We start from the raw sequence: 20,632 nt of genomic DNA, 5'->3' as shown, positions 1-20,632 counted from the left end.
CCTCCCAAAGTGCTGGGATTACAGGTTTGAGCCACTGAGCCTGGCTGGAATTCTTAATCTGAGACCCAGAGAGTTGGCTTTGGGGAGTCCATGAGTATCCCTCTGAGGTCTCACTGTCCCAATTATTCTACACTATCTTCCCACCCTCATATCTTTTCCCATCCTTTCCTCAGTGCAACATCTTCAAACAAGGTAGTATAGCATTCTAGTTCAAAGTACTAGAATCAGAGTAAGAGAGACTGGATCAATTCCTTGCTCAACCAGTTACTAGCTGTGAATCTTAAGTTCATGTCTTCCCCTCTCTGAGCCTCAGTTCTCCCATATATATAATGACAGTAAGAATAAAAGCTACATCATATAATTTATTAAGGAATCAATGAGGTAATACATCTAAAGCACTTAGCACAGAGTTTGGTACATAGTGAGTATTCAATAAATACTTAGAATTATCTTAATTCCCCATGCTTTGTCCACACTCTGCCTTGTTCCCCAGAAAATAGCAGTATCATGTTTATGACTTCAGATGATTTCACTTGTTTTGAGAGTCAGGAATAGCCTTCTCTTGTAACCCTCATTTGGAAAGCAATTTAACTCCCTGACATTAAAAATTAAAATATAAACAGCTCAGAGCCTGATTTAATGGACAATTAAAAATTAAATTAACAATTAGTAAGTGATGAGCTAATTTTGTTAGTGTAACCACATTAGCCTCATGCTTTGAGGAATAGGAAAAGGGGGAAATGGGTTCCTTTAAAAAATACAGGCAAGAAATGATTTAAACTCATATATCATAGCCTTGACAGATTCATTCTTTGAAGCCATTCGCTCTAAAACCCAGCTGTCTGATGCTCATGAAAAAATGTTTAGATGCCAAAATAATGAGAATTAATGATCTGGTAGAAGGAAAAAGATACTAAAGTAATATTTAATTGCAAGATATAGAGCAAACAGCTGGGTAAAACAGCCTGGGTCATCGTACCCCATGCTGGTTGGCAGCCTCTGGAATAAGCAAGGGTTTTCTTACTTGTCTTTAAACACATGGATCTGCCAAAAGTGCTTATTGCAGGTCTCAGGTCTGAGATTATACTGAGATTCTTACACTGAGCTCCAATAGGAGGGGAAGATGAAAAAGAGCCCAGCTGAGGTGTTTCAGCACCCTGGAGAGTGCTTAGCAGAAGGTAGGGCACTGAACTTTTTTGGAGAGAGCTTCATCTCACTCCAAAAAAGTCACAAAACTCCCCTTTTCTTCTCCTGCCTCCTCTGTTCTGACTCCCCTCTTTTTTTTCCCAGGAAACTATGCTCTCAAAACTCTTATCACTTTATTATCATTGCATTTTGATGTGTCCGTCCTTTCTGCTAGTTCATAAGGTCAGTGAGTTCAGGGGCTCCTATCTTGTTTGCCATTAAATGCCACACACGTCATAGTGTCTGGTATACAGTAGATGATCAATATGTGTTCTCTTGAATTGATTTAATGCTACTGAGCTAAAAATGTGTTCAATCTGAGATGTTAGGGACTCATAATCTTGCTCTTCCTAGAGGCATCTACCATTTGAAAAGAGGGAATGGAGATTGCTCTACTGAATCCAAAGAGATGGCTCGAGTGTGGTGTGATTCCAGGCATCAAGAAGTGACCAGAGGCAAAAAAGGGAGTGCTTCTAAGAACTCATCAAACCACAGCTTGTAGATGTCTATCTGCTCCGATTACATGCTGGACTGGCTTCAGTGAACAGAAACTGTCTTAGGAGCAAAGAACACCACTCAATTCTTAAAATGTGTGAAGTGTCTGACAAAATGCCATCTGATGCTGATAGGATGTGATCTGAATGGGGCGGCCTTCTGCCATCCTCCTGTCATCACCTCTGTTGTTTGAGATCCCTACTGTTACAGTCTCTGGTTTAGAGAAGAGAACATTTGTTGGTTTTGGTATGCCCCCCACCTCTGCTTCACATCCATTGCATCTGGCTTTCATAATAGTTTTAAATTTTCTTTTGGGAGAATTTCCTCTCCTTTGATGTGTGTAGTCTTAATGATACCAAAAGTCAAGGCAATTTTCCTCCCCCACCCAAGAGTCTATAGCCCAAGGGTGACCAATCAGCCCTTTCCTGATGTAGCTTTTGTGGATCTTGAATGTAGTGTCATAAGGAGGAAAAGGCAGTTGACACCACTTCTTCCAGAGTGACACCCTTTTAAGAAAGTGGTCCACTTGACACTACCAATATCAGAGCATTCCTCTCTTCTTCTACGCTGAGTTTTCCAGCCTTCTCATTGATTCTATGATCCAATATCCTTCTAATATCATTCTAATAAGTTCACTTTCTGCTTAAATTAGCCTGAATCTGTTTCTCGATTAGCTTACAGGATCTCTAATTGATGCTGTTGAGTTGAGGAGCAAGAGGTAAGGCAAGAGGTGAACATCACCTAGGCTTTGAAACTCTCTTCCAGTGACAGGTAATTTATCACATTTATTACTTAGACTCTTCCAAGGAAAAGAACCCAGATGAATGTAATGTCTAGTGAGAAAAAGGAGGGGGAGAAATTTCAGTGTAGAATCATGAAGATGACAAGCCCTAGAGGTGGTGAAAAGCTAACTGGAGACAGCTGCCAAAGGAAACAAATTCCTTGCCTCTTTTGCTTGGCTTCAGCCTCAAGTACAATATATATATTTTAATTTTAATTTTAATTTCAATAGTTTTGGGGGAGTTCAGGTGGTTTTTGGTTATATGGATAAGTTCTTAGTGGTAATTTCTAAGATTTTAGTGCATCTGCCACTTGAGCAGGGTACACTGTACCTAATATGTAGTCGTTTATCCCTCACTCTCTTCCCACCCTTCCCCCTGAGTATGCAAAGGTCATTATATTATTCTTATGCCTTTGCATCCGCATAGCTTAGCTCCCACGTATAAGTGAGAACATATGATTTTTGGTTTTCCATTCCTACATTGTTTCACTTAGAAAAATGGCCTCCAGCTCCATCTGAGTTGCTGTAAAATACATTATTTTGCTTCTTTTTATGGATGAATAGTATTCCATGGTGTAGATATACCACATTTTCTTTATCCACTCATTGGTTGATGGGCACTTAGGTTGTTTCCATATCTTTGCAACTGTGAATTGTGCTGCTATAAACATGCGCGTGCATGTGTCTTTTTTATATAATGATTTTTCCCCTTCAGCCTCCAGTAAATTAAAAGATTCCAATAAATTAAGCCTCCAATAGGGAGGTAGAGATCCTGCATGACTAACAGGGCTCAAAAGGCCTTCCTGATACAAGTCTTCCTGGAACCCAGTTTCTCTGTCTGATTTCCCAGGGGGTCTGGGTGCTCAGTCACATGTTCCCCCTTCCTTATCTCTACAGACTGGCCCAATGTCACAAACGACATGGAGAGGAAACCTCACAGATATTGCAGGGATACTGTGTCTGAAAATCCCATGGCTTTCCAATGGCCCATAAGTCAGGAAACAAATTAGAGGCTTGTAAAATTTGTCTTCTGCCTTTAATTGACAACACTCACATGCCACAAAGGTAAGAAGTTCTGTTTCTGAATCCATTATTAGGCAGAACCTATAAAAAGGAACAAGAAGGAGCAAAGAGAGGAATAGGGATGTCAGTCAGTGCTTATTCCCACACACCCATTTAAGGAAACTGTCTGTCTCACAATCCCTATTGCTTCAGCAACCTCCTTCCACCTTGCCAGCTAATTGGGGCATTGTATGGACTCTGCGACACAAGTATGATGGATCCAACCTGTGGCCAGTGACTTGGGACCTGTATCATCTGGGATAAAAAGATCTCTTTGGCCAATCAGATTCCTCTGGAGTACTGAGCATTATCAAGCTGGGAAATTGAGATAGCATAAGGACTGAGGATGAAAAGACACCTTGAGACATGGCAGGCAAAATCATGAATAAACCAAATTTCTACATGAGCAAAAAAGAAGAAGAATATGAGGGAAAACATAATCGAGAGAAAGGAGAATTGAACAAATAATTAGAGAGGACAAGAGAGAGAGAATGAAAGAGAGACTGATTCCTAAAACAGCTGTAGGTGCTGAAAACTTTCCAGTTCTAATTACAGTTCACAGCTCCTAATAATAAACTGCTTTTTAAAAAGGTAACTTGAAGGAGTCTCTGTCTTGCAACTGAAAGAACCCAACTGAAACAAAGGAAATTCAGCCACAAAGGTCGAGGAGAACATGTGAACTAATCCCTATTTCCTCTGACCCTAGCTTTCAAGCCAGAAATGGATCTGTCTAAAATAGCCTCTGGTGCCTGGAGCATGTTATATGTCTCACATTGTGTGCACTGTTATACCATTTGAGCCTAATGACAGCTCTGTGATATAATTATGTTGCACACACATTCATTCAACAAATGTGCTCAGATCCTGCTATATATATCAGCAACATTCTTTTGGGAATGAAAGAGGAAATAAAAGAAAGGTTAAAGAATAATAGACCCTGTCCTAGAGCAGGATGTCAGCTATGGACAGAAGTATTTGCATTGTGTAAATGAGATAGACCAAGGTAGGGCATAGGTGCATTCAAGTTCACATAGCTAGTTAGTCAAGAGGAGGAGATATGAGCTCAGGTCTTTGAAACTCATATTTCTCAACTTCAATTGCAGCAGGACCATGCTTCTTCCATGGCTATGACCCCATCAGGGGTTGGCAAACATTTAGTTAGCCAGATAGTAAATATTTTAGGCTTTGCAAGCCATATGGCCTCTTTCATGACTACTCTGCTGTTATAGCACAAAAACAATCTTAGTTAACATGTAAAAAAAAAAAGTGTAGCTGTGTTCCAATAGAAATTTATTTACCAAAAAAGTGGCTGGCTTTTTTGATAAATGGTTGCAGTTTGCCAACCCGTACTAAATAAATCCCTGTGTACATGAAGGACCCTCCCTGTCCTACAGCATCAAACCCTTTGAGTCTCAAGCACTTTAAAGAAGACAAAGCCGTATACGTCAAGTAACATTTAGGTATATTTTTAACCTTATGATGCTTGACTGATTAGGCCATAGTAGAATATTTGCCATCCCCAACTTGACTTAGAAATGGATCATTTCACATAGATATTTTCTCCAAGAGCCTCTCAATATTCCAGTTTCCCATCACCATAACAACCCACACTATATAATGAAAAGGTAGAAGCAGTAACAAGTAAGGGAAGAATTCAAGCACTGACTTCTCTGAATATAAGTTTTGACATTTCAAGGTATGTTGCTAACAGACCAGTCATCAGTGTCTTCAAACATTCTGCATTTCTCAGATTCTTATAATGTTGTAAATGTATTTGTGCTTTCCTAAAGGCCAGTAGTCATATATCAAGAGTCTTAAATTATTTAGAGTATACATACTTACCAAGAAGAAAACTAGGTCTCCATCAGGGGAGGCAAAAAAAGTAGAATCAGAGATGATATACTAAAAATTAACTGAGAAAAGCTAATAGAGGACATTATGTAAACATGGATAATTCAGCTTCATGCAAATTCCTAGTGGGGAAGATAAAGAGGAAGCCAGAATATATTTCACATTTTTCTGCCTTGGAAAGGATGCATTCCAATTCCATTTGAACATTAGGTTTTCCTGTTAATAATGTTATGACTCTTCTATCATCAGTACCCATCGTGAGTAGGGAGATGACAGATCTCTGAACGCAGTTACATGTTCTCCTCCCTTCTGTTGGGTCCCCAAGTCAGAGATTATCAGGACATGGTATCCTCACCCACTGTCTCAGCCCTTGGAATCCCTGGTCCTGAACTCTGTGAAAGGGGAAAGGTCACCGAATAATATTGACAGTTTTCCCCCTGGTACAGCCTCCAGAAATATCCTCTGTCCTGTGGCTCCCTAAAAATCGGGAGGAAAGCAGTCTTTAAAAGCCCGCATCAGTTCTGCTTGTGATGCTGTAACTCTGGAGGAAAACTGTATCCTGGGAGTGTTGTTTAGAATTTCCAAATCTATTCCTTTCCAGCTAATATATCTACTTAGTTTCAGACTATTCTTTCCCTCCTTGCTCTCGGGGGCTTCCCTGATAATGCTAGAAAGGAGAAAGAGAGACCAAGAAAGTACATCTGCCTAAAGTTGTGGGTCACTGCGGGGGCTGCCATTTCAGCCTTTCAGGCAGTGGTAGCTCATGAATGTTTTATTAAATACCTTCCTTGGAATGGTTCTTAATGAAGGAAAATGGCTGCTCTCTCAAGGCTACTATGAGTGTCTTTTCTGACTTCATGTTTATGGGGTTTTCCCTTTTCTTTGCTCATGTCTTGAAGGTACCAAATAACAACGAGGATAATAATAATTACAGCTGACATTCACTAAGCACTTACTGTGTGTCATGGACTCTGCCAGGCATTTCTACATTCATGGTAGCATTTAATTTCTAGAAAAGCCTTTGAAGTATGTACCAGAAGCATCCCTTACCAGATTACAGTAAGGCAATAGAATATGGTCCTTAATAGCGTGAACTTTTCCTGAGCCGAATTCTTTGAGTTCAGATCAAGGTTCTCTACTTACTGAGCAATCTTAGGCAAGTGACTTAATCTTTCTTGTATTAGTCACCAATTGCTGTGTAACATACAACCCTACAACCTTGTAGCTTAAAACAATGCACATTTATGATCTGACAGCTTCTGTGGGTCAGGAATGTGAGCATTGCTTAGCTGGGTCTTCTCATCTGCCTTAAATCAAGGTGTGAACCAGGGATTTGGTCATCTCATTGGCTGACTGGGGGAGGATATACCTTCAAGCTCACCCACATTTGGCTTCCTTTAGTTCTCTGAGGGTTGTTGGACTGTGGGCCTCCATTCTTACAAAGCTGTTAGTAGGAAGCCACCTTCAGGCTCTTGCTACATGAACATCTACAAATGGCAGCTTGCTTCATCAAAGCCTGCAAGCTGAGAAGGCAATTAAAAGAGTCGGCTAGCAAGACAAAATCACAGTCTTCTGGAACCTAATCATGGACCTGATATCCCAACATATTCGCCATATTCTGTTGACTAGAAGTAAGTCACTAGTCTAGTTCACATTCGGGGGAAAAGGCAAAAAAGAGCATGCATTCCAGGAGGTGGGAATCAGTGGAGACCATCTTAGAAGTCTGCCTTCCATATTGGGTCTCAATATTCTCATCTGTAAAATGGTGACACCAGTACCTACCCCAAAAGTTTGTTATATATAGTAAATGGTTGTTATATGTAAAACCACCTAGGTTGGGGCCTGACATATAAAAAATGTTATTAAAGTGTTTGTTATTATAATTAAAAATAACAATGAGAGTTTAATTCACTTGCCCAAGGTTGTTCAGCCAGAGCCAAGGTCATGCCCAAGGTAGTGCCAGTAGCCCAAGTTCGTGCCAGAGTGAGGACTGAACCCAGGTTATATTCACCGATTCTCAACTATGTATTTAGGGATGCAGCAGTGAACAAGAAAGGCTCAGTTCCTGCTAACATGGGACTTCCAGTCTAGAAGAAAGAGACAGACATATTCAGAGAATTACCCAAATAACTCAAAGTGTGGTAAGTTCTACAAATAAAAATGCACCATACACTAAGACAGCACATCAGAGTCTGCATAAGAGGGGTGGCTAACCTAGTATGGCTTATCAGGAAAGGTTTTCTTAAGAATCAGACACTCCAGGCCTGGCACGGCGGCTCACACCTGTAATCCCAGCACTTGGGGAGGCCGAGGCAGGCGGATCACGAGGTCAGGAGATTAAGACCATCCTGGCTAACATGATGAAACCCCGTCTCTACTAAAAACCAAAAAATTAGCCAGGCATGGTGCCAGGCGCCTGTAGCCCCAGCTACTCAGGAGGCTGAGGCAGAGAATGGCGTAAGCCCGGGAGGCAGAGCTTGAAGTGAGCTGAGATTGCGCCATTGCACTCCAGCCTGGGTGACAGAGCGAGACTCCGTCTCCAAAAAAAAAAAAAAAAAAAAAAAAAAAAAAAAAAAAAAGAATGAGACACTCCAGCTTGGATTAAAAGAATAAGTAGGATTTGGTCTGGCTAGGGGGAAAGAAAGCATATGCTTCAGGAAAAGTGAACAGAGTCTGGAAGACCCTGGGACAGAAAAGACACAAAATAAATGACATTCTTCTCAAATCTTCCTCCCTACTCTCTTATCCACATTCTGTACTTCCAATGACAGATCTAATACCACTTCCTACAAGCAAGTATTCATGATTTTCCTTCTCTAATATCTGAAAATATTGCAGCTGTTTTCCCAGAGCATTTGTATCCATCTTGGAAGGCACCTATAACACCATCTCTCTCTTTTTTTTTTCCAGTAAGTTTGCTTCTGAGTTGCTTTTCTAGCTGCTCAGCTGACCTGGAAACTCACAGAGGATAAAGTTCATAGATCTCTCACCTTTTCCTCTCAGGAATGTTCACAGTTGAGTTTGGGGGCTAGGAGACAGCCCTGAGAAGCAGACTTTGCTCTGTACACTGCTGCACCTTTGGACTTTATAACATTTGCAGATATTACTTATTCAAGAAGGTAAGAGAGGTTAAAATTTATAATGAAAACAGAGACAACGTTGCTGAGTTGAAAATGCCTGCACTTGGAATTAGACATACACATCTGTGCCCTGAGATTCTAGCTGTGTGATTCTGGGCAGATGCTTTACCCTTTCAGAGCCTGTTTCTTCTTCTGTAAAATGGGGATTATTCCACCTTCCTTGAAAGATTAAATCAGATATGATAACCAATGCACCCAGTGAAATATTCAGCACATAGCGGGGACTATGATCGTACAATGCAGGCCAGTGGGGCCGCTATTATCTTTAGTAATCCTGCTGGGATTTTAGATATTTTAGCTCAGATTTTTTCCTCCCATTTCCCCTTTCTACCTGCCAGTGATGGGGATTTTCTTGTGCTGACTTAAGCATTTGTTTTAGGTGAAGGAAGATTGCCAGGCTCTTTAAGGATGTACAAGGCAGAACTCAAGCTGTTTCTCCCATGGTGTTTTTGATAGAGCTGAGCAAAAACAAAGCCATACAAGGGTTAGGGGCTTGGGGAAGAAGCCAGGCTTCCACCCCTATGTGAGTTCTCATGTTGGGAAAGAGGTCTGAGCAAACTAGAGACTTGCAGTGAAGGACACTGAGGAGCTGAGCAAAACTTATGTAAAACAATGGATTTCCCCTGTAGACTACAATTCCTTGGAACAGGGCTATCTTTTCATTTTTGCATCCCAAAAGTCTACCCCAGAGTGGATCCCTTATAAACAGTATCCAATCACTGATTCACCCTGGCAGCTATTCATCCGGCCCTCTGATTTGTCATGAGCCCCAAAGTTCTTCAGTTCACAGACACTGAATTCACTGGTTAGCAACTCAACTTTGAGCCTCCCAACACAGGTGGGTTTTCTCACAGATCTGTTCTTCAGAGTGGGGTTTCTACATGATGAGGCAGCAGTGCATAGATGTTAAAGACTCACACACTAAAATCAGACATCTTGATGCCAATCACATCATCCCTGCCACCTCCTAGATGTGTGACCTTGGCTAAGTCATTTCGCCGCTCTCACTTTAAGTTTTTGGAGACAAGGTCTCGCTCTGTCACTCAGGCTGGAGTGCAGTGGTGCCATCATTGCTCACTGCAGCCTCGACCTCCTAAGCTCAAGCAATCCTCCCACCTCAGCCTCCTGAGTAGCTAGGGCCACAGGTGCATGCCCCTATGCTTAGCTAATGTTTTAAAAACTTTTTTTTTTTTTGGTAGAGACAGGGTCTTGCTATGTTGCCCAGGCTGGTCTTGAACTGCTGGGCTCAAGATATCCTCCTGCCTCAGCCTCCCAAAGTGCTGGGATTATAGGCAGGAGCCACTGCACCTGGCCACACACCTCTCTAGCTCTTCATTCCATTCCCCCAAGTGTACAATGGAACACTGAACAAGAGCTCGGTACTTACTGTCACTTACCATGTACCAAGTGCTGAATGAGTACTTTACACATATTATTAAAGGTACCTATTTCATACCATTATTATGCAAGCTAGGTAAGGGTCAACACAGAGATTGGCACATAGTAAGTGCTCAATAAATGCTACTTATTGGTATTATTATTCTCCACTTGGGGCATGAAGTCTTGCTTAATTTCTACTTCTTGATCTGGTACCAGCCTGATACCCAAGACAACTTCATGGATACTGCCATCTCCCCCAAAAAGATGAGTGACCTTTCTAGCCCTAGAATAAAAGCCCAGGTAAAAATCACGGACATCAGTGTTCTGTATTTGTGGGCATACGGATATCCACATTTTGGGCAATGGGTATTATTACAGTAATACTAAAAAAAGTTTGCAGAAATTTCTTTTGGTCTAATACCAACTGTAATCCCTTTTGGCAGTGTCTGCTGCTCTTAAGGATATACACCTTAAAACACTCACAAGCAGAAGCCGATCTCTTCCTCAGGAGGAACTTTCGCTACTGCAACAGTTTTCCAAACTGTTAACCTAAGCATGGTTAAATAGCATTTTTCTTTGCTTATAAAAACACTACAGAGATAACTGGAGGCAGAAGCCCCACTCTTCACTTTGGAGCCGTGCACGTCATGCACCATTCCACCCTGACGACAAGGTCCCCCACTCCCTAAATTGCTCCTAACCCCTCTCATCTCCTATTGTGCATTAACACCTCTGCTACATTGCAGTATTAATTTGATTTATGACCCAGCCGCCCCACCTGAGGCCCAGGAAGATGGCTCCCCTCCGATCGCTTCCATCAGCAGTGTAAGTGGATGGTAATAAAAACCTATACATGGCTCAGACTTTCAATTTCAATTGGAAATTGAAACTGTGCAATATGATTAAAGTTTAATCTGCATCATCAATAAACATGTGTGCGAAAGCAATGACAGCTGCTTTCTCTCCTGGTTGCAAGCATGGATTTGATGAGTGCGTGTCTGCTGTCTCTTGTCTAAGCAAAGTATTTACTGGAGTTGGGATTATACACACTGACATACGTGCATGGGCATGTGGGAAGTAGATATATTTGTGCAGAAAGATAAAAATCATCACAGGGACATGACTGGGAGAGCAAGGTTGCTCATGCTCAGATGAAATCAGATTGAATCAATAGCTCTACAAGGAATTGCTAAGGATTCAATGGTTTTTCAAGGAGTACTAATGGCCATGTATTTGTTCATTCATTTATAAAGTATTTATTGAGTGTCTACTGTGTTAGACCCTTCACTCGATCCTGGGGTCATAATAGTGAGAGAGGTAAAAATAGACACTTGTGGAACTGCTCTCATGGAACCTACAGTAATGGTTGAGAGGGATGTTTATCAGATAATTAGGCAATTAAATGTGAACTTGCCCGTCTATTAAGTGCCCACAGGAAGAGGTATACAATTCTGCTAGTGCTGTAAAGAGGGAAATGTGACCTCTTCTGTGAAGTTAGGAAGAGCTTCCTGGAGTTGGTGATGATAGAGCTAAGGTCTAAAGAAAGAACAGACACAAGAGGAATCCAGCCACAGGAAGCCATATGTGCAAAGGCCAGGAGGTAAGAGGAAGATCCAGGGAAAAGAAGGCAGAGTGGCTGGAACAGAGTGAAATAAGAAGCTTGAGGTGAGGCTGCAGAGGTGGACAAAGAAAACACACTGGGCTTTGCAGGATGTGGCAAAGGGCCTAGATTTTTTTTCTAAGTACAATGAGAAGCTATCAGAGGGTTTTAAACAAGGCAGTTATGTCATCTTTTTAAAAGGCTGCTGCATGGAGAAGGAAATGGAGGAGACAAGAATGGATGGGCAAAGACCAATAAAAGAGGCTATTTCTGTGATCTAGGGGAAAGGCAAGGATAACTTGGACTACTTCCTGACAGTGGAGGTGAGAAGTAGGAAAACTTTCTCCATGGTGAAAGTCGATGCCTGCCCTTTAAATACATAATAAATGGGCTCATCTCATCTCCATTCTAATGAGCTCTGCTCAATATGTCTCTATCACCCCGATGAACTCTCTCAGCCTCAAACTCTCCAAGAAAACATAAGCCATTCAATATGTACTCTGGCCACTTTGCCTTTCATCTCCAAACTTATCTGCATCTTTTTTTTTTTTACAGGGTCTTGCTCTGTTTCCCAGACTGGAGTACAGTAGAGTGATGATAACTCACTGCAGCCTTAAACTCCTGAGCACAAGAGATGCTCCTGCCTCAGTCTCTCAAGTAGCTGGGGTTACAGGTGTGCACCACCATGCCCAGAATTTTTTTATTTTTCATTTTTTTTTAAGAAATGGGATCTTACTATGTTGCCTAGGCTGGTCTTGAACTCCTGGGCTCAAGCAGTCCTCCCACTTTGGCATCCCAGAATGCCTGCATTACAGGCATGAGCCACCACGCTTTACTTACCTGCATCTTTACCCATGCTTACTTATTTCCGTTCTTCCCGAGAGTAAAAGTTTAATGGTGTTTGCTCTGGCCTCCAGATTTTGCACACATTATTCCTTCTGCCAGGAGCATTCTTCCCTCATTCCTCTCACTCATTTACTTGTACTTACATTCCCAGTCTCAGATAGATTTTTCTGCAAATTCTTCTTGACCCTCTCTGCACAACTGGCATTGTCTGTTTAGTTAGCTTTTAGCAATCAGTAGACTGTGCAAACCTTGACAAGAAGGCCAGTCCTTGTTTCTCATTATATCCCTCATTGTCCTATACAGTGTTCTGTGCACTGCATACAAGAAGAGCTCAATAGATGCACATTGGATGATGGCAGAGCTCTTCCTTCTTTCAAGTGCCAGCTCCTCTCCTTGTGCTATTGATACCAATTCTTCCTACTTCAGAATGACCTTGTTCTGTCAATTATTCCTTCTCACTCCTACATATTCAAGCTCACCAACTTGACTATATCCTTACCCACAACAAGAAATTCATGTTTCCTCACCCTAAAGAGCACTGTCATTTGCTCCTGGCTTCTCCCTAAGAGTAGAAGCTTCCCCCAACCTTCCACTGCTCGAATATCTAGAAAATATAGTCTAGATTCACTATTTCTATTTCATCATCCCTTACTTCCTTTACCATCTGGCTTCCATCCACATAGTTCCATCAAAATAGCTCTAATGATCCCTGGGGACCTCCCAATACCAAATTCAATGGTTACTTTTCAGCTTTCATTCTATTTGGCTTCTTGGTAACATTTGATGCTGTTAACCACCTGCCTTCTGCTGAAAAACTATCTCTTGATTTATGCAGGAATAATTCCTGGCTCTTCACTTACATCTTTCACTGCAATTTCTCATTTATTACTCTTAATCGAACTTCCTGGGTATTTCATGCCATTTTACAAGTGAATAAAGTAAGGCTACGATAAGCTACATGATTGTGAATATGTTCTTTTTAAAAAGTCTTCATCTGTTGGTGATACTCACTAAAGTATTTTTCAGTAAAATGATACAATACCTTGGAATTGCTGTAAAATACTCCAGATGTGCTGGGTGCAGTGGCTCACACCTGCAATCTCAACAGTTTCGGAGGCTGAGGTAGGAGGATCACTTGAGACCAGGAATTCAAGACCAGCCTGGGCAACATAATGAGACCCCCATCTCTACATAAAATTAAAAAATTAGCCAGGTGTGGTGGTGCTACTCAGGGGGCTGAGGCACAAGGGTCACTTGAGCCCAGGAGTTCGCGGCTACAGTAATCACATCGCTGTACTCCCGCTTGGGTGGCAGAGTGAGAGCCTATTTTAAAATAATAAATAAATAAATAAACTACTCCAGATATAGTCAAATATTATTCATATAATTTTTAAAGGTAGGTATAGTTGAAAAATAAAATAAAAATTATATGCCTTGCTACCATTATTCCACTTTAGAAACCCAGGTCTCCTTAAAACTCCTAAAATCAATGGTCTTTCTACCACAAAGATGGACATACTTCAGGTGATCCAGGCGAGGGCTTAGTCAGAGTCAGGGGTGATAGGGTTTCTGCCTTATTTACGGAAGGCAATGAACCACGGAGTCTCCACGTTTTCAGAAGACTTGGGTTTTTGGCTTGGCCCTGCCAGGATCCATACATGGGGCCTTGAATGGCATATTTGCCCATGACAAAGTGAACCTCTCCATGTCTGTAAACATACTTAGACAATAGACCTCAGAGGTTGCAGTGAGCCGAGATCGTGCCATCGCACTCCAGCCTGGGGAACAAGAGTGAGACTTCGCCTCAAAAAAAAAAAAAAAAAAAAAAAAGAAAATAGACTTCTCTAAGAGAAGTTGTAACTATCAAGGAATTTTAAAATGTGATTTGTAAAGAGAGGCAGCATGGTGCCACGGTGAAGAACCCAGGCTGTCAGGTGAAACAGACCTGGATTTAAGCCCCTGCTCCATGACTTACTGGCTAGGTGAACTTGGGCAAGTCACTGGGGACCTCAGAGCATCAGTTCCCACGATGCCATTTAGGAAGAGCAATTTCCTACCCTGCAGGATTATGGAGAGGATTAAAATGTAACAACTAGAACAGAGTAGTTGTCCCTGAATTCTTATTGGGAGGTGGTGGACAAATAGGAGGCAGGGACACCATGGGTCCTTTGTAGCCCCTCTTTCTACTTCCTGCGCATCTCATTCACTCAGGATGATTTGCAGTTGGTGGCAAATCCAGCCCTGGGACCAGAGATCTGAGACTAGTGATAAAACCGTCAGCCAAGATTTGCTACATCTTTTTTTTCCACCCCCTAGTCTCCCATTAAAAATGATTTGTCGTTAGAACAAAACATGGGAAAACAAACGTGATTAAAATTTTCCCATATTAAATACCTGTGTGGCAATGGCAGGCCCGAGCTGAGAGCTCTGGAAAGGCTCTGATTCATCCATCTGGAAGGGGTCTGAGCATCTGGCAGAGTCGGGAAGTGAGTAAGAGTCTGGGTTTGTTTCTCTGCTGCCTCGTTCTTGGCATCTTTCTTCCATCTCGCTGACTTCCTCAATCGACTCCATTAAACACAGATTACAGGTAACTGGGGCATGGGGTGGGCATCACCATAGCATTGGGAAGGTAGGAGGAAGGTGGGGAGGGAGGATATGCTTTACCCTCCTACCCTGCCTTCCCCGAGGGGAAAAAAATCTCATAACTTTCAGAAATGTGATAGATCTGTCAAAAATCCATGAAGTCAGTTGCATAGGTTATGAAACTCACTTCACAGGTTTGGTATCTCTCAGAAACCTTTTGCTTCCTTAAGGCCTGAAGGAGATTCATTGCAAAAATATCTGCAACTTTTCATCCCTCTCTGCACACCTCTTGCACAATGACCTAACAGCTCCTCTCATCAAGAGGCAAAAACTCTTTTCCAATCCTTGATATGGGCTAGGCTAATGACTTGTTTTGGCTAAAAAGAAGATATCAGAAGTGAATGCATGCAAGTTCCAAGGTTAGGGCTCAAAAGGCTGAAAACATGCACATTTCAACTTTCTTGTAAAAAGCTTGGCATACTCTACTGCATGGTGGGAGATACATAGCCCAGTTACCGCCCCTCACACCATCCAACAGCCAGCCGACTTCTAGGCAAGTGAGCAAGGCCATCCTAGACTAGCAAGCCTCCACCGACTGCAACCTGACCACAGATTCATGAGAAAACCCAGCCAAAATCAGTTCATCTTGTCTTAGACCAGTAGAACTGCCCAGTTGACCTGCAGACTGGTAAGCAATAATAAATGCTATTGCTTGCTTAGAGGTGGTTTGTTAAGCTGTGAAACTAATTGACACAAAACGGTGTGACTTAACATGGCCACATCTTGCTAATGTGTGCCCTACCCCCTGCAAATAACTTTAACCAATTATGTCTTCAAATTTAAAGTGTGAGTTTTTTTTTTTCAGCTTTGTAGAATCTGGGAAGGTCGTTGGTTAATGTGAAAAGCCCTAAGAATTCAGACTATAAATATTTCTTCTTGAAGGATCTAAAGTATTCTGTCACCTAAGGGCTGAGAGTCCCTGGCCCTATAAAAGCCTATATACATAGGGCATCTATTATCCCACTCCAACTTACTGCATTGATTTCTTCTCCTCAGGGTGCCTAAGAAATTTTGGTTAATAAGAGAAAGAACCAAAGGTAGAAGTAAATTTGTTTATTCATACTCACAGAGCTTCCTCTTCCTCATTCAATCACCAAAGAAGGGAATAGTTTACCTGGACTGGTCAAGCCAAGGACATGTTATTGGGGCAAAGGTTTCACTGGACTGAGATTGGCAATCAATGTCTCCCTCTCTGCCTGTTCCTCCTCCCCCTCCTCTTCCTTCTACTCTTCTCTTCCTCTTCTCTTCTCCTTCTTCTCACTCATCTTTCTTTTCTCTTCATGAGATTGGAAAAAAGATACTACCACCTCCCTCTCAGGCAGAAGGGACATTTCCCCTGCCCTTTTGGAATCTCAAGGGAAACTAGAGTGAAGCCCACAGGAAAGACTCTCTGCTTGTTTAGACAAAGAAAGAGATCCTCATGGCCTCCAAAACTTGGAGGGAGAAAGAGTGGCTTGGGAGCAGGATTCACGTGTTCACTTGATGGCAGGCATGCTCTTGACAGTACCCTTCAAACATTCACTCCAACTCAAAGGCCTGTCCAGGAGGGCCAGGTGCGGTGGCTCATACCTGTTATCCCAGCACTTTGGGAGGTGGAAGTGGGCAGATCACTTGAGGCGGGGAGTTCAAGACCAGCCTAACCAACATGGCAAAACCCCGTCTCCACTGAAAATACAAAAATTAGCTGCTTGTGATGGTAGATGCCTGTAATCTCACCTACTTGGGAGGCTGTGGCAGAAGAATTACTTGAACCCAAGAGGCAGAGGTTGCAGTGAGCCCAGATTGTGTCACTGCACTCCAGCCTGGGCAACAGAGCGGGACTCTGTCTACAACAAAACCAAACAGAACCTGTCCAGGAAATGCCTCCCCCAGAGGAAAACCATGACTGGGAGTGAAGGATGAAGGAGGGAGTGCCTAGGAAAGTCTTGGACTGAAAAGAGAATAGCAGGCAGGCTGGGTTACTTTAAATGCTGATGATGAAGTTGAGAGAAGTGGAAATGGCATCAGTGACGTAGACTTGGAGTTGAAGATAAAATTGCATCTGTTAGTATTCCTGTGGAAATATTAGGCTGTAACTAGAATGTGTGAGATGGTCTCTCTTAGACATGAAAGCATTAATCATAAACTGACAATAAAATGAGTAAATGTGGACACATAATAAGAAATACTTGGAGTTTTTCCCTAAACAGAAATCTTTCACCAAAGCAGAACTCTTCCTCCTCAAATCCATCTCCACTCTGCAACTCTTAACATCAGGGTTCTTACTTCAAGGCAATTTCACCATTTTCTGGCCCTTGCTTACCTACACTAACCTTCTTCCTTTGCACTTCTGTTCTGCTTTTTACCTTCCAGCGTTTGTTACACCTTGGGAAACACTGGATTCACTCCTTTCTCCAGATTTTTGCAGACATATCGTCTCTACCTGGGGCATTCTATTTCCCTAACTAATCCTTCATATTTCAGCCTAAATGTCCCCTCCTCCAAGAATTAGTGTCAGGGGACCCTTGGACAGTCCTGTTTCTGCAGCTGGGTTATTCCCGGGCCTTTTCTATATGTTACTGCTTACTTCCCTGTAGACATAGAGATGGATACATTGTTTCCTTCCCTTGTAGGTTTCCTTCCTTTGTAGGTAAGTAGATACAGATACAGATACAAATGGCCATTTGGGGATCACAGCACCAAAAGATTTGGGCTACTTCATGCCCATGAGATAATTTCTGAGTTACAACAAGGGGTCTCATGCCCATGAGATAATCCCTGAGTTACAACAAGGGAAGAAACAAAATCGTTGGAGCTATTCACTAAATTCATCTTGTTTTACATCACAAAAATTTTTGTTTGCTTGCTAGTTACTTCTATCACAGTCTAGGAGAAGCCTGACCAAACAGAAAAAAAAAAATTGTAACTGGATTTTATCACTATCAATTATTCTGGGTACAAAGTGGAAGGCAGGTCATTTGTCCTGGGGAAGGAGCAGTGAAGTAGAGACCAGGTTGTGGTCAAGGAGTTTCACCTGAATAAATCTTGTTCCATCCCATTTTCCCAAGATCTAGGCAAGACAAGGAAAATGGGCATGCTTTCATTTTAGTTAGACCTTTGAAATTTTGTAAGAAGAGAGCCTCATGAGCAAAGAGTTGAAAAACCAATGGGGTAATAACGGGTTATTCTTAATGGTACCTTCAGTAGAAAATAAAAAGGTTTGCTGGGTGGGGCGTGGAGTGGGGTGGGGGAAGGCTGAACTGATAGGTTACTGTCGCTTAGTGTTCTGAACTTTTTCCTGACTGCTTTATGTAAAGAAGCAATTAATGAATGCACAACTGTCAAGAATAATTTGCCCTTAGAGACACACCAAAAAAAGAGAATTTTAGACCAATATCCCTGATGAACATTGATGTGAAAATCCTCAGTAAAATACTAGCAAACCGAATCCAGCCGCACATCAAAAAAGCTTATCCACCACGATCAAGTCGGCTACATCCCTGGGATGCAAGGCTGGTTCAACATACGCAAATCAATGAACGTAATCCATCGCATAAACAGAATCAATAACAAAAACCTCATGATTATCTCAATAGATGCAGAAAAAGCCTTTGACAAAATTCAACAGCCATTCATGCTAAAAACTCTCAATAAATTAGGTATTGATGGGACGTATCTCAAAATAATAAGAGCTATTTATGACAAACCCACAGTTAATATCATATTGAATGGGCAAAAACTGGAAGTATTCCCTTTGAAAACTGGCACAAGACAGGGATGTCCCCTCTCACCACTCCTATTCAACATAGTGTTGGAAGTTCTGGCCAGGGCAATCAGGCAAGAGAAAGAAATAAAGGGTATTCAATTAGGAAAAGAGGAAGTCAAATTGTCCCTGTTTGCAGATGAAATGATTGTATATTTAGAAAACCCCATTATCTCAGCCCAAAATCTCATTAAGCTGATAAGCAACTTCAGCAAAGTCTCAGGATACAAAATCGATGTGCAAAAATCACAAGCATTCCTATACACCAATAACAAACAAACAGCCAAATCATGAGTGAACTCCCATTCACAATTGCTACAAGGAGAATAAAACACCTAGGAATACAACTTACAAGAGATGTGAAGGACCTCTTCAAGAAGAATTACAAACCACTGCTCAATGAAATAAAGAAGGACACAAACAAGTGGAAGAATATTCCATGCTCATGGATAGGAAGAATCAATATCATGAAAATGGCCATACTGCCCAAGGTAATTTATAGATTCAATGCCATTCCCATCAAGCTACCAAAGATTTTCTTCACAGCATTGGAGAAAACTACTTTAAAGTTCGTATGGAACCAAAAAAGAGCCTGCATTGCCAAGATAATCCTAAGCAAAAAGAACAAGGCTGGAGACATCACGCTACCTGACTTCAAACTATACTACAAGGCTACAGTAACCAAAACAGCATGGTACTGGTACCAAAACAGAGATATAGACCAACAGAACAGAACAGAGTCCTCAGAAATAACACCACACATCTACAACCATCTGATCTTTAACAAACCTGACAAAAACAAGAAATGGGGAAAGGATTCCCTATTTAATAAATGGTGCTGGGAAAACTGGCTATCCATATGCATAAAGCTGAACCTGGATCCCTTCCTTACACCTTATACAAAAATTAATTCAAGATGGATTAAAGACTTAAATGTTAAACCTAAAACCATAAAAACCCTAGAAGAAAACCTAGGCAATACATTCAGGACATAGGCATGGGCAAGGACTTCATGACTAAAACACCAAAAGCAATGGCAACAAAAGCCAAAATAGACAAATGGGATCTAATTAAACTAAAGAGCTTCTGCACAGCAAAAGAAACTACCATCAGAGTGAACAGGCAACCTACAGAATGGAGAAAATTTTTGCAATCTACTCATCTGACAAAGGGCTAATTCCAGAATCTACAAAGAACTCAAACAAATTTACAAGAAAAAATCAAACAACCCCATCAAAAAGTGGGCAAGGGTTATGAACAGACACTTCTCAAAAGAAGACATCTATGCAGCCAATGGATACATGAAAAAATGCTCATCATCACTGGTCATCAGAGAAATGCAAATCAAAACCACAGTGAGATACCATCTCACACCAGTTAGAATGGCGATCATTAAAAAGTCAGGAAACAACAGATGCTGGAGAGGATGTGGAGAAATAGGAACGCTTTTCCATTGTTAGTGGGAGTGTAAACTAGTTCAGCCATTGTGGAAGACAGTGTGGCAATTCCCCAACGATCTAGAACTAGAAATACCATTGGACCCAGCCATCCCATTACTGGGTATATATCCAAAGGATTATAAATCATGCTACTACAAAGACACATGCACACGTGTGTTTATTGTGGCACTATTCACAATAGCAAAGACTTGGAACCAACCCAAATGTCCATCAATGATAGACTGGAGTAAGAAATGTGGCACATATACACCATGGAATACTATGCAGCCATGAAAAAGGATGAGTTCATGTCCTTTGCAGGGACATGGATGAAGCTGGAAACCATCATTCTGAGCAAACTATCACAAGGACAGAAAACCAAACACCTCATGTTCTCACTCATAGCTGGGAATTGAACAATGAGAACACTTGGACACAGGGCAGGGAACATCACATACTGGAGCCTGT

At 41.6% G+C, this 20,632-nt stretch overlaps 1 long non-coding RNA gene across 2 annotated transcripts in view; it reads right to left on the bottom strand.

Annotated features, from left to right (window-relative positions):
* Positions 1-3,478: 3,478 nt before the first annotated feature.
* Positions 3,479-20,632, bottom strand: part of LOC105370019 (uncharacterized) — a 48,831-nt gene continuing 31,677 nt past the window's right edge. Inside the window, exon 5 of one of the 2 annotated variants that reach the window (XR_945423.3) lies at positions 3,479-3,565. This is a non-coding gene — a long non-coding RNA (uncharacterized LOC105370019). Of the gene's footprint in view, positions 3,566-16,803; positions 17,037-20,632 lie in introns of those variants that run through there. The other variant, XR_945424.1, reaches the window with a different exon arrangement.

The sequence above is a fragment of the Homo sapiens genome, chromosome 12 (assembly GCF_000001405.40).
Source record: "Homo sapiens chromosome 12, GRCh38.p14 Primary Assembly".
Classification (NCBI taxonomy): Eukaryota; Metazoa; Chordata; class Mammalia; order Primates; family Hominidae; genus Homo; species Homo sapiens.
Note: the sequence above shows the minus strand (reverse complement) of the source record. Positions and strands in the feature narration are given on the sequence as shown.